We start from the raw sequence: 18,364 nt of genomic DNA, 5'->3' as shown, positions 1-18,364 counted from the left end.
TCTGTTGAGTACATGAATGCATGTGTAGAATTTAAAACTCACCTGATCATCTTTTTTAAAGTAAACTTTTTATTTTGGTTTACAGAAAAGTTGCAAAAATACTACAAAGTTCTGTTCGTTTCCTCTATTGTTGATAAGACACCCGTGGCCTGGCCGGGGGTTCAGACTGCAGACCCAGAGCTTGTGCTTGTGCATAACTGGGGGGCACTGCCAGCGACAAGGAGGTGGCAAAAGAATAAAAAATTAAAAAATTTTTTTTAAATCTGAGGGCATGACATTGGTACACTATTATTAACTAAGCTCCATACTTTACATAATGATCCTCCCATTCTGATCAACTCTTCCCTTTCACCTAGCCCAACTGAGGTAGGAGAATAGAGTCTGCAGGCAGGGAACCTAAGGCCATTTCACGCTGACTTCCTAGAACTAAATCGAAAGGAAAACCCTAACTTTCCACACCTAAGTAACAAGAGGACCAGAGGCTACTCTCTTTACAACCCCCCACCTTTTCTGTGCAGCAGATGGGAAATTGAAAGTACATTTCGATTTCTATGCTACATTTCAGTTTATATGTTAAAATTGCATAGAAGTGCAACTTTGTAACTTCACTTCAGCCTGATTGGTTGCTTTCCACAACCAATCAGATGTTTGCACAGGAGCATGACCTTTGTAACTTCACTTCGGCCTCTGATTAACCAGTCAGACTGATTGCGGGCCACCACTTCATTTACATGAGGTGAGCACCAAGTGGCCAATGGGAAACCTCTAGGGGGTATTTGGACCCAAGAAGATTCTGTATCTGGGCCCTTGAGCTGCTGCTTGGCCCGCTCCCACACTGTTGAGTGTACTTTCATTTTTAATAAACCCTTGCTTTTGTTCTTTCATTGCTCCATTTTTCCCTTGCTTTTCTGTGTGTTTTCTCCAATTCTTTGTTCAAAAACGCCAAGAACCTAGACAACTTTCAGTCAAAACCCTCTACTGGTAACATATTTTGGCAAGCCAGCCAGGAGAGAAGGTAGGCCCAAAGCTTGGGATTTATTTTTCTCCATTTCCCTTTTAATGCAGGGGAATTTTTCTCTCCCTCTCTCTTTTCCTTTCCAACTCGGAACCCAACTCGGTGGACAGCGCCTAAGCACAGAGGAAATTGTAAGTTTCTGGCCAGGGCCACTCTCTGGTGAGACTGAAAGGCTTCCGTGTCGAAGCACTTGACCGCCACTGCCTGGTCACTGAGAAGTCTTTTTCCTTGTTTTCATTTTTCTGAGTCCTATTCCTTTTCTTTTTTTCTCTCTTTTTTCTGAGTTCTATTCCTTTTTGTTTTTTGTTGTTTTTTGTTTGTTTGTTTTTTGCTTTTTCAGTCTTTCACTGGTCGTTTCCTAGTAGCTCCTTGGTAATTGAGGGAAACTGGCCGGGGCCACTCTCCAGTGTTCTCTGAAGGCCAAAGAGTGAACAGGGACGGCTGCCCTGCCCAGAAGGGTGAAAGACTCTTTTCTGTCCTTTCTGATTATAGATCCCTACCTGTGTCTGGGTTGGCAGCAGCAGCAGCTCATCCAGGGCAAACTCACACGTTTCAGGTGACTTAAACCTTATGCTAAATTCTTCCCTTCCCTTCCCCCACTTGACTGGCTAAGGACAGAAAACCCACCTAGCTATGCAAAAAGGTTATATGAGTCAGAGGGTCCAGGCATGTCGTAGGTGGTCTGTGTGATGCATGGGGAGTGGGGGGAATTCATGAAAGGTAATCTATTATTGCCTAAATTGAGAGAGTTAAAGGGTTGCTTTGCCGGCTGCGGTGGCTCACGCCTGTAATCCCAGCACTTTGGGAGGCCGAGGCAGGCGGATCACGAGGTCAGGAGATTGAGACCATCCTGGCTAACACGGTGAAACGCCATCTCTACTAAATATACAAAAAATTAGCCAGGCATGGTGGTCGGCGCCTGTAGTCCCAGCTACTCGGAGGCTGAGGCAGGAGAATGGCATGAACCTGGGAGGCAGAGCTTGCAGCGAGCCGAGATCATGCCACTGCACTCCAGCCTGGGCAACAGAGCAAGACCCTGTCTCAAAAAAAAAAAAAAGTTGCTTTAAGTGGCATGGGAAAACCTTAAGGAAAGTTCACAGTAGGTCTTCAGTGGTGGAGGGAACCATTCCAAAGCAATGCCTGCACCTATCTAAGGTCAGAGACATCTAACAGGCTAAGTCAGGGCCCTAATGGGGAGATGCTCCCAGGGACCCCAGTCTGGGCCCAGAATTTTTCCAGGAGGATGCCTCAGGTAAAATTTGGGTCACCTGGTCAGTCCTCTTCTCTTTTCCAGACCACTGTGGGCAACTCTCTACCTATTCCACCTGATTCCCCGCTCGGCTACGTCCTCCACCATTGCGATCAATTTGACCCTGACAATCTAAAGAGAAAACATATAATTTTTTTCTGCAGTACTGTCTGGCTCCATTATGAGCTGCCCAGCCTGGAAAAAATGGGTAGTCAATGGTAGCCTTAATTATGACATCATCCTGCAATTAGACCTATTTTGCAAGAGACAGAGCACATGGTCAGAAATCTTGTACATGCAGACTTCCATGACGCTTTACCAAAACCTAACAATCTGTGAAACTCCCAGAACCCACCCCACAAAGGAAAGTTCTAAGGGAGAACTACATATTATAGATGACCCCCTCTTACAAGGGCCACCTGTCTCTCAGAGTGAACAGTGACCACCCCCATATAGCCCCTTGCAAGTGCTCCTGAGGCTCAACCCCAGGAGCAAACACCAGAGACCCTACTAAGTCCCCCTCACATTCGGAGGGGAACCCTGTATTCAGCTCTTCTTCCAGCCCTGCTACACCTTAGGGAAGTAGCAGGAGTTGAGGGGCCAGTCCTAGTGCAGGCCCCCTTCTCTATAACTAATATTCAACAATGTAAGGAAAAGCTAGGAAGCTGTTCTGAGAATCCTAGGAAATTTGCAGATGAGTTCCACACTTTGACCTTAGCCTTTGATCTCTCATGGAGAGATGGTCAATTCATTCTAGCAACCTGTTGGCACTCCCTCAGGAAAGGAACAAATCTTTGAGGCTGCCAGCAGGGAAGTGGATGAATTATCCACCTGAAACCCTCAGGGCAATTACCGAGGCCCAGACACAGTTCCCACTACTGATCCTAATTGAAACTATAACGCCCCCATGGGAATGAACCACCTGGCTAAATTTCTTGAGGCTGTCCTTGGAGGAATGAGAAAGGGATTAACTAAGGCAGTAAATTATGATAAAGTAAGGGAGGTTACATAAGGCAAGGAGGAAAATCCAGCCATGTTTTATGGTAGGCTGGAGGAAGCCTTTAAATATATACTAATCTGGACCCTTCTTCTCCCGAAGGCAAAATATTAATGGCACAGCATTTCATTAGCCAATCTGCCCCAGATATCAGACGTAAACTCCAAAAGCTACAGATGGGGCCACAAGCTAATCAAAATCAGCTTCTTAATACTGCCTTTATGGTGTATAACAATATGACCTGGAGGAAGGAAAAAGAGAACAGAGTAAAGAAAGACGGCAAGCCAAAATTATGGCAGCCATCATTGGTGATGCCCTGAATGCCCAAAGAGCATCTAAGGGAAACCCGAAGGACTATAAAGATAATACCAGCAAAGGCAAGTCTTGCTTCAAATGCAAGAAAAGCGGGCATTGGGCAAAGGAATGTACTAAGCCCCCGCCCTCCAGCTCCCCTCAGGCCCCTGCTGTCAACGCAAAGGCACCAGTCACGAACCCTGGCACTGGAGAATTGATTGCCTCTGCTCCCACTGAGGGGCTGGGTTAGGCAAAACTCTAGCAGTGCGAAAGGAGGAATCAGATGAAGACTGAAGGGGCCCGGGGTCTTCCTCACTGCCCCTGTCCAGGAACTTTGTAATTACTACTGGGGAGCCTGGAGTAACTCTGGATGTCACGGGCACCCAAATTCAGTTTCTTTTTGTTACAGGGGCAAATTACACTGTCCTTACTGCTTATGCAGGGAAACTTCCCTCCTGGTCCATGAGTGTTATGGGAATGGAAGGGAAGCCACAAACCAGATTTTTTACTCCTCCTTTGATTTGTCAATTTGAGAAACGAATCTTCCAACAGGAGTGCCTAGTAGTATCAAGCTACGCAATCCCCCTGCTGGGAAGAGAGATTATGGTTAAAATAAGGGCACTACTACAATTTAAGCATCACCCAGTGAAATTGCTAATAGTCAAAAATACAGACAATGTCCAAGACCACATTAATAAACAGGTTAACCTGCTGGCATTGTATACTAGAAAACTGAGGAAGGCTAAAACAGCAGTGCCAGTCAAAATACAGCTTGAAGACCCCAGCTGTTTTCCCAGTCAAAAATAACACCCAATTAAGCAGGAAGTAAGAAATGACCTAGCACCCATAGTTGAGGTATTACTTACCCATGGGCTCTTAAAACCCTGTAATTCTCCCTGCAATACCCTCATCTTACCTGTTCTAAAGGCTTCAAGGGAATACTGGTTAGTAAGAACAGTTAATAAAGAATCAAGGAGGACAAAAAGAAGGATCCTCTTAGTATATGGGGTCAAAAATATATCTCCCTCAGACAGCCCAGTGGAAAGTTATAAAAACCCTGCCTGATTCTTTCCATGTTGGGAGGGATGCAACTCTGATTATGGTAAACAAGCTCTTTACTGGGTCTAACTTCAGTGGCTAAGCAGGTCTACAAAGCCTGCTAACTCTGTGCACTTAACAATCCAGGAAACAAAATCCTCCTCTAATAGAACCAGTCCAGAGGAGAGGAAAGTTTCCAGGGGAAGACTGGCAATTAGACTTCACCTATATGCCAGCTTGCAGAGGGTACAAGTTTTTGTTAGTACTAGTAGATACCTTTACTGGTTGGGTTGAAGCTTATCCTACCAGAACACAGAAGGCTAATGAGATTATAAAGGTTCTCTTAAAAGAAATAATCCCCTGGTTTGGGTTACCTCAGAGCCTCCAAAGTGATAACGTCCTGTCCTTTATCTCCAAATAACTTGAGTGGTTGCTAAGGCTCTTGGAATCAAATACCATTTATATTCAGCATGGAGGCCTCAATCCTCCAGGAAAGCAGAAACAGGTAACCAAACTCTAAAACAGGTGTTAGCTAAGCTACGTCAGGAAGCATCAGAAACTTGGGTCAGCTTACTGCTCATTGCCCTCTTAAGGATCCATAATACCCCAGAGCAAAAATTAATATAAGCGAATATAACGAAATGTTATACAGAAGGCCATTCTTAACTAATAATTACTGATCCAGAAACAGCCAGTAAAATACCTAGTCAACCTAGGACAATTTCAGCAGGCTTTACAAAAGTGTGGAATTCAAAGGCTCCCCATACTGGGAACTAACTAGCGACCCTAAATCAGGCCAGGAGATAAGGTACTTGTTAAAACACGCAAGGAGGGATCAACTGTTCAACAATTACAACCCAAATGGAAGGGACCATGTTCAGTAATACTGGCTATGCCTTCTGCCATCAAAGTACAAGGATTAGATTGGGTACATCTTTCAAGGATCAAGCCAGCAATACCAGAAGATCCGGACCAGGAACCTGAAGTTTCCATCAGCCACTACACCTGTGAACCTGTGGAAGCCCTGAAGTTCCTGTTTAAAAGACAGCCAAAAGATGAGTAAATGCCTACCAATTTTCCTTGGTGCCTTTGTTGCATAATTACCGTAGGCTGGATAATAGTAGTCATTTATTTTATTTTTGCAGTTTAATTGCCTTCTTCCAAATGGATAGAATCACTTCCTTTGTAGTAATTAAGTTGAATGTTTTAATACATTTTTATAACAAACATTCCTGACAGCATAGGTATCCACACCCAAAGTTCCCATTAAGTCTTTTAACCGAATTCATTTCCTCTCGCATAGAGACTATCAAGCCTCAGATGATCATGCAACAAGGTTTCCAGCCAGTTCCAAGTGAAGACACCACCCCTGGCCATCAAGAAGCCACCCTATCTTCACTAGACAGAGTAGGGAGAGAGTTCCATGATCTCCAACAGATAAGGACTACTCCCAAGTCAGCATGAAGCAGTTACAGAAGAAAGTCCATCAGTCCCTCTGCCTCCCATAAAGATTTATGGGGATCACGTCTCTCAGGGATGAGATGAGGCAGGAGAACAGGTCTGGAGGAAGGGAACCTAAGGTTGTTTCACAATGACTTCCTAGAACTAAACTGAAACGAAAACCCTAACTTTCCACACCTAAGTAACAAAAGGACCAGAGACTACTGCCTTTGCAAACCCTCACCTTGTCTGCACAGCAGATGGGAAATTAAAAGTGCCTCTGATTGGTTGGTGTTTTTTTTTTTTTTTTTTTTTGAGTTGGAGTCTTGCTCTGTTACACAGCCTGGAGTGCAATGGCACACTCTCAGATCACTGCAGCCTCTGCCTCTCGGTTTCAAGCAATTCTGCCTCAGCCCCCCGAGTAGCTGGAATTACAGGCACCTGCCACCACAGCTGTCTAATTTTTAAAATATTTTCAGTAGAGACGGGTTTCGCCATGTTGGCCAGGCTGGTCTCAAACTCTTGGCCTCAGGAGATCCGCCCGTCTCCAGCCTCCCAAAGTGCTTGAGCCACTGTGCCTAGCCAACTGGTTGCTTTATGCAGCCAATCAGATGTTTGCACAGGAGTGTGACCTTTGACATTTCAGCCTCCTATTGGTTGCTTTCTGCAACCGATCAGACTGATTGTGGGCCAACACTTCATTTACATGAAGGGAGCACCAAGTAGCCAATAGGAAACCTCTAGAGGGTATCTGGACCCCAGAAGATTCTGTATCAGGGGCCCTTGAGCTGCTGCTCAGGCTGCTCCCACACTGTGGAGTGTATTTTCATTTTCAATAAATCCCCACTTTCATTCTTTTTTTTTTTTTGAGACGGATGCTCTCTCTGTTGCCCAGCCTGGAGTGCAGTGGCGCCATCTCTGCTCACTGCAACCTCCACCTCCTGGGTTCAAGCGATTCTCCTGCCTCAGCCTCCTAAGTCGCTGGGATTATAGGCATTCACCACCACGCCTGGCTAATTTTTTGTAATTTTTAGTGGAGATGGGGTTTTGCCAAGTTGGCCAGGCTGGCCTTGAACTCCTGACCTCAGGTGATCCACCCGCTTAGCCTCCCAAAGTGCTGGGATTACAGGCTGGAGCCACTGTGCCTGGATGCATTCTTTCATTGCTTCATTCTTTTCTTGCTTTGCTGTGCGTTTTGTTCATTTCTTTGTTCAAAATGCCAAGAATCTGGACAACTTGCAGTCAAGACCCTCTACCAGTAACACAACCTCTTCATGAGATCCATGAGGAAGAGGACTTGCCCAGTGGTACACAGAAGAAGTGAAACTAGACATCACTTCTCCTAAGGCTGAACCTACAGATTATATGAGAGATGGCCATGTGGCTCTGCTCCAGGTGGACATGGGTGACAGATGCCGCTGTGGCTCTGCTCCTTGGTGGATGTGGGTGAGAGATGCTCATGTAGCTCTGCTCCTTGGTACATGTGTAGATGAGAGATGCCCACGTGGCTCTGGTCCTTGGTGGGTGTGTAGGTGATGGATGCCCCTGTGGCTGCGCTCCTTGGTACATGTGGGTGAGAGACACCCCTGTGGCTCTGCTTCTTGGTGGATGTGGGTGAGAGATGCCCCTGTGGCTCTGCTCCTTGGTGGAGGTTTGTGTGGTTGCTCAAGGTAACCACAATGCCAGCATGGTATGCCCTGCAGCATCACTGGAAAATAGGAAGGGGCTGCATAGACCCTTCCAGCATCATTCCTTGTCTATCTTTCTAGCAACCAAGTCCCCTCAACCCCATTACCCACCTCCTTTTGACTCCTACAGACACACTCCACCATAATACAAGAGGTCAACACCCTTAGTCAGTGAAAGGTTAACTCTCCCAGCCACCTCAGTGGCATATTCCTTTCAGATGAGAGTACCTGGCATCTCCACATAAAGGAATTTGGATGAAATTCTGGAAGGTCACAGACACAGTGACTGGAAACCAAACCATAAACAAGATGGAAGAAGGGAAGGGACATGTTCCCAATCAGGTAGACCCCGGCTTGCACCCTGGCCCTGCCACCTCCTGCTGAGAGAACCTCGGCAGGGCCTTAACCTCTCTGGCCTCAGTTTTCTCATTTGCAAAATGAAGATTCAAGATGATAATAATGAAACTACCTCTCAGTGAAAAACTATTCACTCATTGACTAATCGATTCAACTACTGAACAAGATAAAGGCCCTGCCCCTGCCCCCACAGGCACACCCCATCCGCCTATGACTAGAGTAAAGGGCAATCAGCAAAGAAAGAAATAAACAAGATGATAGCATCAAGTAATAATACTAGATGACAAAAAAAATCAGGTTATGGTAACACAAATTGGGGTGGGTTGCCTTTAGGGGTCTGATAAGAACTCTCTGAGGAGGTGGGCTTTGACTCTCCCCGGGAGAAACGAGAAACACTTGGGGAAAGAGCCAATGGAAAAATTAAACATGGTCAAGACCATCAGGCCATGCTTCCCAGCCGGGGCCTCACATTGCAGTCCTCTGTGAGCTTTTAAAAATCCCAACCCCCAGGCCACACTCTAGACATCTAAATCTCTCGAGATGGGACCTAACCATTGGTACTTAAAAAAAAAACAAAAACCCAGGTGACTAAGATGTGCAGCCAAGGTTGACATACAGTGATGTAAAGTATCTGACGTACATATAATAAGTGCACACATACATAGAAGTGACAATTATTAAAGCAAGGCCTCTGTCCTTGAAGAACTCACCTTCTAAGAGTGATTGGTTAGAATACTGGAAATTAGGCTGGGTGCAGTGGCTCATGCCTGTAATCCCAGCACTTTAGGGGGCAGAGGTGGGTGCTTGCTTACTTGAGCCCAGGAGTTTGAGACCAGCCTGGGAAACATGGTGAGATCCCATCTCTACAAAAAATACCAAATATTATCCGGCGCACATCTGTAGTTCAAGCTACTCAGGAGGCTGAGATGGGAGGACTGCCATAGCCCAGGAGGTGGAGGTTGCAGTGAGCTGTGATCGCGCCACTGCACTTCAGCCTGGGCGACAGAGCGAGACCCTGTCTCAAAAAAAAAAGTAAAATAAAAACTAGAAATTATTACCAGCTTACTATTAACGGCAAGGATCTGGGCCTTGAAATAATATGGCCCAGTACAACCTACCAGTCTTGCTTGTGTGTGGTGGGTATGGGTGTTGTTGGGGACCAGCCATGTATCTAAAGCCTGGGGTGTGTGTGTGTGTGTGTGTGCCCTGAGTGTTAAAAGTGCATATGAGGCAGGAGAATAGGGCCTGGAGGCAGGGAACCTAAAGACTTCCCAGAACTCGATCAAACTGAAACACTTTAGCTATGACAAGAAATATCCTCTTTATTTACATGGTAAATGACTTTGTAACTTTACTTCGTCCTCTTCATTTACATAGAGTGTACACCAAGTAAATAACTTTGTAACTTCAGTTTAACCTCCTCATTCTAGCCATACACCACATAACCAATGGAAACCTCTAGAGGGTATTTAAACCCCAGAAAATTCTGTAACCGGGCCCTTGAGCCGCTTGCTTGGGCCCCCTCCCACCCTGTGGAGTGAGCTTTCATTTTCAATAAATCTCTGCTTTTGTTGCTTCAATCTTTCCTTGCTTTGTGCGTTTTGTCCGATTCTTTGTTCAAAATGCCAAAAACCTGGAAACCCTCAATCAGTAACACTTACACCTCAGATATGTGTGTGGCAGTCATGTGGGTCAGATGTAGAGATCACAGACAGGTGATGCCAGCCTCAAACATGATTTGTTTGTCTGCATGGTGTTTCTTAGAAAATATTACTTAATTGCTAATGAACAATTTTAAAAGGTGATTTCGGCTGGCGTGGTGGTTCACGCCTGTAATCCCAGCACTTTGGGAGGCCGAGGCGGGTGGATCAGGTCAGGAGTTCGAGACCAGCCTAACATGGTGAAACCCCATCTCTACTAAAAAATACAAAAATTAGTTGGGCATGGTGGCGGGAACTTGTAATCCGCGGGAGCCTGTAATCCCAGCTACTCGGGAGGCTGAGGCAGGAGAAGAATCATTTGAACCGGGGAGGCGGAGGTTGCAGTGAGCCGAGATTGCACCATTGCACACCAGTCTGGGCGACAGAGTGAGACTCCATCTCAAAAAAAAAAAAAAAAGAAGCAGAAGTGATTTCTCATTAAACCGTAGATTTCCAGCTTTTTCTGAAAAATCAGACAATTTGGAAACACCAGCTTTTTTCCCCCAGGGCAACAGTTCATTGAAGCTGTCACTGAGAGACAGAAATTACCTTGCCCAAGACCACTCAGCAGAGCTAGGGTAAGTACTCAGGTTTCCAGTCTCCCAGCTCAGGGCCACACCTCTGGGCAAGATTGCAGAGCTGATAAGAGAACCACCCCCTTCTCACCTCAACAGTCTGAATCTGGAGAGCACTTAGAGGCTGGACAATGGGGAGCAGGGATTGGACTTGTCAAGCAGGCTGGGCAGGGCTAGGGAAGGCAGGCTTGGGAGCAGCATCCTCATCAGCCTCAGTCTGTGGACCCAAGATGGGAGGCTTCTGTGTAGGCAGACATCGCTTTGATTCCCAAAGATTTTCATCTCAGTAGAGCTTTTTTCTAGAGCTGTGATGATCAATGCTGGCTACACATTGGAGTCACCAGGGAGCTTGAAACCCTCCCCATGCTCAGGTTACACACCAGGGTGGGACCTATGTATTACATTTTTTAAAGTCCCTCAGAGAATTCCAATATGCTGCCGACATTGACAACCACTGTTCTAAAGGCCTCCCTAACAGTAACATGCATGCAAAGTACCTGAGATCTCACTAAAATGCAGATTATGATTCAGCAAGTCTGGAGTGGAGCCTGAGAATTTGCATTTCTAACTAGCTCCCCATGACACCAAAGCTGCTGGTCTGAGCCCCACAGTTTGAATAGCTAGGGTCCAGATTAGACTGGCTTTCTCCACCACTGGGTGGTAGGAGTGGGATACAGATAGAGTCACTATATACCCCTAAGGAAGGTGTCTGGGGAACTTTCCCCACCCCTTCTTCTTACTGAAACAAGACAGGAAGGACAGAGCCTCAGTTGTTCCTAGATTCTCTTCCTTATGCCCTATCACTCAACACTGTATGTTGATAAGGGAGGAGACCACCCCTCATATTGTCTTATGCCCAATTTCTGCCTCCAAAGAAAGAAGAAGTAAAAACTAAAAGGCAGAAATGAAATCCACAGGCAGACAGCCCAGCATGCGCCCTGGGCCTGGTAGTTAAAGATCGACCCCTGACCTAACCGGTTATGTTATCTATAGATTCCAGACATTGTATGGAAAAGCAATGTAAAAATCCCTGTCCTGTTCTGTTTCGCTCTGATTACTGGTGCATGCAGCCCCCAGTCACGTACCCCCTGCTTGCTCAATTGATCACGACCCTCCCACGTGGACTCCCTTAGAGTTGTGAGCCCTCAAAAGGGACAGGAATTGCTCACTCGGGGAGCTCGGCTCTTGAGAGAGGAGTCTTGCTGATGCTCCCGGCCAAATAAACCCCTTCCTTCTTTAACTCAGTGTCTGAGGAGTTTTGTCTGTGGGCTCATCCTGCTACATTGAGATTGGCTGATTCTGTGATGTCTGAGGACCAGTCCAAATTTAGTACCTTTTTTTTTTTTTGAGACAGAGCTATGCTCTTTCACCCAGGCTGGAGTGAAGTGGCGTGATCTCAGCTCACTGCAACCTCTGCCCCCGCCAACCCCCATTCAAGCGGTTCTCCTGCCTCAGCCTCCTGGGTAGCTGGATTACAGGCACCCACCACCACACCCAGCTAATTTTTCTATTTTTAGTACAGAAGGGGATAACAAGCGTGAGCCACCATACCCAACCCAAATTCAGTACTCTTTAATTCAGTGAAGTGTGTATCTCAGATGAGTTGCCCAAGAGAAGGTGGGTGAATCCAAGCAGGCTGACCAGAAATCTGTTCTCTAAACAGTTCTGCTCTACTCCTCCTACCTCCCCTCCTACCCTCTTCCTTTTGCCCCTCCAAAGGGGCTGCAGGATTATTTGAGTTTAGTAGGCCCTGGCTGTTTGTGCCAGCAGTTTTCCAACGAAGGGTAATCCCACCGATGTCTTGGAAGGTCCAGGCAGTACCTAAAAGAGTCTTAATTGTCTAATGCCTCCCAAGGAGGGATCGGGTTGGGTTTGGGGTGAGGGTATGAGGACCTTGTCCCTTAGGGCTTGGGACCTGGATTCCAGTACAGGGACTAGCAGTACTCTGGCACCAAATTTCAGGCAGGAGGCACCATCATCATGCATCCTTTACAGTTTCCAAAGCATTCCATTAGCCGGCTATTTCAGCAAACATTTGCCAGGCAGAGCAATACCAGTGTCCCGGGCTCTGGGATGCAAACAGAATCTGCCTATACTCAGAATACTCACTGTAATCCCGGCGCCTCACACACCGTTGACTGCAGGGATGGAAGAAACGGTTAGAATGCCTCCAACCACCTGTAGTACATCCATGCCGCCAAGAGGGGGCGGCCGCTACCCAACTCAGGCTCATTGTTGCTGGACACACGCCGGCCAGATGTGGCCAGATTTTTCAAGAGAAGCTGGAAATCCACTTTTATGTGAACTCTCCAAATATTTAATGGAGAGCAGATAATTCCGATATTTATTAAAAAAAAACTGCGTGGAACTGGATGTGGTGGTGTTTCACGCCTGTCATTCCAGCACTTTGGGAGGCGGAGGAGGGTGTATCACTTGAGGTCAGGAGTCTGAGACGAGCCTGGCCAAAATGGCAAAACCCCGTCTCTACCAAAAAGTATAAAAAATTAGCTGGGCATGGTGGCGTGCACCTGTAATCCCAGATACTCGGGAGGCTGAGGCAGAAGAATTGCTTGAACCTGGGAGGCGGACGTTGCAGTGAGCCGAGATCGTGCCACTGCACTCCAGCCTGGGCGACAGAGAGAGACTCCGCCTAAAAAAAAACAACAAAAACAAAAACAAAAAAACTCTGCGTGGATCTGCCGAACCTACAAAACTGCAGTGGGCAAACTCTGGTGAAATGTGACCCCAGAGTATGGGATCTTGGCTTCATTCAAAAATGCTAGAGCTTTACGTCATTATTCTAATGCCTTCATTTTACGTGTGGGGAGACTGAGGTCCAGAGAAGAAAAGAGATTTGCCCAGGTTTGTCAAGGCAGAGCCAAGTGTGAGACCCACGCCCCCTGCCTTCTGGTCCAGATGTTCTTGCAGTCGGGGTTCAGGGGAGACGATTCTATAGCTCGGGCAAGGGCATGCCTCAGGGCCAAGGGGGAGCCGGTCGGGCCAAGGGGGAGTCCCGATGGGGCTGAGGAGGTCGCCAGAGCCCAAGGGCAGGAGGGGGAGCGGAAGTTTTATTTTTAGCTGCTGGGAGTGTGCCTCTGCACCTTATTTAGACATCAGGCGACAGGGTGAGCTGGAGGCAGCAGGGCCCGGGGGAGGAGATCACCCCCTCCCGCTCCCTGGCTCCTCTTACAACTGCTCTTCCCAGTCCGCCCCCTTATCATCCTCTCTGGGGGCTCTGGGGCTACTGTAAATAGCAGCCCTTGCTGGCTTGGGCTCTGCCCTCCTGTGCTCTTGCTTACTTGCTTTCTCCTCCATTCCCGCCCCAGCAAACCACCCGACCCGTTCCCCCAAAGACTCTCGGATAATTAGAATCTAGGGCAGTAGGGCGTTTTCTCTTCACCCTTCTGGGGTCACAGATCTCTTTGAGAAGCTGAAGTAATTTATCATGGGGCTTTAGAGCTCCGGTTGTGGAGTCTGGTAGACCTAGGTCCAAATCCCAGAGTAGGACCCTAGGCAAGAGACTTGCCCTCCCCAAACCTGAGCTTTCTCATTAATACAGTGGAAGTGGTAGCCCGTCCGGTCTCCCTTCCGCGTTCTGATGATTAAATGTGATAAGTATACGAAGCCCTTAGCATATCATAGTAAATTCTCAATAAATGATGGTGATGGCAATTCAAGATATAGGCCTTTACCCAGAAAAAAAAAATGAAATTACTCATACATGCACAAGTGTGAATGTAAACTTCATACTCAGTCCAACTAATTCATTCATTCACCCATTTGTTCAACAAATCTTTGCAGTGCTTACTGGAAGCCAGGAATTGAGCAAAGAGTGGGGTGGGGAATGTGAATGTATGTGAATTATCCAGAGTCATGGTGCAAGTCAATAGCAAACCAAGCATCAGAATGGAAGTCTCTATTTTTCAAAAAACAGCTTCATTGGCCGGGCGCGGTGGCTCACGCCTGTAATCCCAGCACTTTGGGAGGCCGAGGCGGGCAGATCACAAGGTCAGGAGATCAAGACCATCCTGGCTAACACGGTGAAACTGTCCCTACTAAAAATACAAAAAACTTAGCCTGGTGTGGTGGCAGGTGCCTGTAGTCCCAGCTACTCGGGAGGCTGAGGCAGGAGAATGGCGTGAACCTGGGAGGCGGAGCTTGCAGTGAGCCCAGGTAGGGCCACTGCACTCCAGCCTGGGCGACAAAGCAAGACTCCGTCTCAAAAAACAAAACAAAACAAAACAAAACAAAAACAGCTTTATTGAGGTATAAGTGATATACAAAAAAACTGCACATAGTTAATGTGAATAATTTGATGAGTTTGGACATATGCATACACCCATGAAACATCACCACAATGAAGGTAATAGACATATCCATCACTTCCAAAAGTTTCCTGTGCCCCTTTGGTTTTTGTTTGTTTGTTTGTTTTCATTTGTTTTTTTTTATGGTAAGAACACTTAACATGAGATCTACCCTCTTAAATTCTTAAGTGTGTAATAAAGTATTATTAACCATAGGCACTCTGTTGTACAGCAGATGTCTAGCACTTATTCATCTTGCATAACAGAAACTTTATACCCACTGAGCAACAACTCCCCGGTACCCTCCCCCATCAGCTCCTGACAACCACCATCCAATTCTCTGCTTCTAGGAGTTTGATTATTTTAGATATTTCTTATAAATGGCATCATGACTGGCTCATTTCACTTAGCATAATGTCCTCCAGGTTCATCCATGTTGTCACAAAAGACAAGATTTCCTTCTTTTTAAGGCTGAATACTGTTTCTTTTATCTTTTTCTTTTCTTTTCTTTTCTTTTTTTTTTTTTTTGAGACAGAGTCTCGTTCTGTCACCCAGGCTGGAGTACAGTGGTGTAATCTTGGCTCACTGCAGCCTCCACCTCCCAGTTTCCAGCAATTCTCCTGCCTCAGCCTCCCGGGTAGCTGGGATTACAGGCCCATGCCACCACACCCACTAATTTTGTATTTTCAGTAGAGACGAGGTTTCACCATGTTGGCCAGGCTGGTCTCAAACTCCTGACCTCAGGTAATCCACCTGCCTTGGCCTCCCAAAGTGCTGGAATTACAGGTGTGAGCCACCGTGCCCAGCCTGAATACAATTTCGTCATATGTGTACACCACATTCTCTTTACCCATTCGTCTGTTGATGGGCATTTAGGTTGTTTTCATATCTTGGCTATAGTGAATAATGCTGTAATGAACACAGGAGAGTAGATCTCTTTTCATGGGATGGCTGGATCATACAGTTCTATTTTTAATTTTTTCAGAAATCTCCATACTGTTTTCCACGGTGGCTGCACCATTTACATTCTCACCAACACTGCACAAGAGTGAAAGTCTCTTGAATCCTACCTAATCCTGACTCCTTTAAAGAATAACTTTTGGTCAGACACGGTGGCTTATGCCTGTAATCCTAGCACTTTGGGAGGCCGAGGTGGGAGGATCACGAGGTCAGGAGATCGAGACCATCCTGGCCAACATGGTGAAACCCTGTTTCTACTAAAAATACAAAAATTAGCCTGGTGTGGTGGTGCCCACCCGTAGTCCCAGCTACTTGGGAGGCTAAGGCAGGAGAATCGCTTGAACCCAGGGGGCAGAGGTTGCAGTGAGCTGAGATCGCACCACTGCACTCCCGCCTGGCGGCAGAACAAGACTCCATCTCAGAAAAAAAAAAAAAAGAAAAGAAAAGAATAACTTTTGCCTCTGAAAAGGGACTACGACGAAGATCTCTTCCAGTCCCAATCAAATCTAAGAGTCCATTCCCTCCAGACCCCTCCTCCAGCAGACCCTTGTACACTTTCTCCAACACACTTGACCAACGTTAGCTTCTGCTTGAACACCTCCCGCAATGGGGCACTCACTCCCTGTCAAGCCAGACCCCTGAATCTTTGACCAGTTGGAAGGCCTGCCTGCCTGCCTGCCTGCCTGCCTTCCTTCCTTTTTCAGAGTCTTGCTCTGTCACCCAGGCTAGTGTGCAGTGGCGTGATCTCAGCTTACTGCAACCTCTGCCACCCAGGTTCAAGCAATTCTCCTGCCTCAACCTCCTGAGTAGTCAGGATTACAGGCACCTGCCACCGCACCCAGCTAATTTTTGTAGTTTTAGTGGAGACGGGGTTTCGCCATCTTGGCCAGGCTGGTCTTGAACTCCTGATCTTGTGATCCACCCGCCTCAGCCTCCCAAAGTTCTGGGATTACAGGTGTGAGCCACCATGCCCGGCCTGGTCTTCCTTTCTTTCGAGGAGCTGGACTCTACATTCCTGGGTGCCTCTGCCTACCACTTGTAGCTTTCCAAGACAGCTTGGAAGACAGTTCATCTTCTCCAAGTGCTCCTGAGCCAAAAGAGCCTTGAGGAAGGAAGAGGAGGAATGGGGTGAACTGGAGGCTGCGTCCAGCCTTGCCCAGCTTCCAAGCCCTGCCTGAACTTAGGGTCCCCCAGAAATCCAGGTTCCCAAGGTTCCGTCCCTCCTCTGCAGCTGCTTCTTTAAGAAGCACCATGGGGGCTGGTCCTTGCTACTGTCCTTGGACCCTGTCCAGGGCCCTGATTTAAAAGGTATCGCAACGTTTTTAAAAAACAAACATGTGTTGTAACCCAAGGCCCTGGTAACCACAACACTGCCGGCCGCTAGCTGCCGCCTCCCAGGCTAAGAGTAGAGGAAACTGCTCTCCGCCTACCCAAAGGCACCCCACACTGCTGCGCACCGTAGTTACCTTATTATATCAGTCCGGGAGCTCTGTGAGGACAGGGCCTGAGCTGGCCCTCAAGGCTGCAATCCTTTTGCACCAAAGTGCCTTTGGGATCCTCACCCACACTCTCATGAACTATTCCAGTAGATACTTGACTGCTTCAGCACAGCGCTTCCTCGCCATTCTCCACGTGAGCCCCAGAGTGACCTTGGATACCACCAATCTGACCACACCACTCCCACTCCTACGGGATAAAGGAAAAATGTCTTGGCCAGGCCTTCAAGGCCTCTGCCTATCTGTATCTTCCTCGCTCTCTGCATTCCCCCAGTATTCCAGCTGCACTGAGCCTCCGAGGCCCCCCTGAAAGTGCCACTGGGCATAAAATGTTCTTCCCACTTTGTGGACAAGCAGAACCCCTGCTTAATCTACACAGCTCAGCTCAGACATCACATCCTTGGAGAAGCTGCCCCGACCTTCACTCTCCCAGACAGAGTTAATCACTGCTTTTGCTTCCATGGTATTTTTCCATAACCCTTGTTGCATTATTTGTCTACCTGGAATACAGGCAATGTAACCTCCTGCAAATATTTTGTTTAGCTTGCATGGTGATTTGTGTGCATGTGTTTGTGTAAAAGAGAAAGAGAGATTTTACATTTAAAAAGTGGGGGGTGGGGTTGCTGGACAAAGTGGCTCACACGTGTAATTCCAGACCTTTGGGAGGCTGAGGCAGGAGGATTGTTTGAGCCCAGGGGTTCGAGACCAGCCTGGCCAACATGGCAAAACCATATCTCTACAAAAAATACAAAAATTATCTGGGTGTGGTAGCATGCACCTGTAGTTCCAGCTACTCAGGAAGCTGAGACGAGAGGATCACTTGAGCCTAGCAGGTTGAGATTACAGTGAGCCATGATTGTGCCGTGCACTCCCGCTTGGGCAACAAAGCGAGACCTTGCCAAAAATAAAAATAAAAAAATTGAGCCGGGCATAGTGGTATGCACCTATAGTCCCAGCTACTTGGGAGGCTGAGGCAGAAGATCGCTTGAGCCCTGGAGTTTGAGGCTGCAGTGCACCATGATCGTGCCTGTGAATAGCCACTGCGCTCTAGCCTGGGCAACACATCAAAACCCTATCTCTTAAAAAAAAAGAAAAAAGATTTTCAGTTTCACTTAGAAAATTAGAAGGTCAGGCCAATCAGGGCCTCCATTTCCTTCTAACACCAATCCACTGCAGTGCAGCCACCTGTGCTCCTTTTGGTTTGGTATATGGCCCCCAGTTTGCACCTGTCCCCAACTTATACTAGCCTTT

At 47.1% G+C, this 18,364-nt stretch overlaps 1 long non-coding RNA gene across 1 annotated transcript, besides 2 other annotated features; it reads left to right on the top strand.

Moving 5' to 3' along the window:
• LOC124901115 (uncharacterized) lies at positions 804-6,317 on the top strand. The gene is made up of 3 exons (XR_007059003.1): positions 804-1,015; positions 1,508-1,571; positions 2,310-6,317. It is a non-coding gene; the product is annotated as an uncharacterized LOC124901115 (long non-coding RNA).
• Positions 10,867-10,916: a silencer, noted in NCBI's record as "silent region_16522". NCBI's record gives its function as "represses an Ori minimal core promoter by ATAC-STARR-seq in GM12878 lymphoblastoid cells {active_cell/tissue: GM12878}" and the evidence as "EXISTENCE:reporter gene assay evidence [ECO:0000049][PMID:35858748]".
• Positions 12,407-12,701: a silencer, noted in NCBI's record as "tiled region #9347; K562 Repressive DNase unmatched - State 12:CtcfO". NCBI's record gives its function as "represses a minimal TATA promoter and a strong SV40 promoter by Sharpr-MPRA in K562 cells {active_cell/tissue: K562}" and the evidence as "EXISTENCE:reporter gene assay evidence [ECO:0000049][PMID:27701403]".

This window comes from Homo sapiens, chromosome 5 (assembly GCF_000001405.40).
Source record: "Homo sapiens chromosome 5, GRCh38.p14 Primary Assembly".
NCBI classification, from domain to species: Eukaryota; Metazoa; Chordata; class Mammalia; order Primates; family Hominidae; genus Homo; species Homo sapiens.
This window is presented reverse-complemented; position numbering and strand designations above follow the sequence as displayed.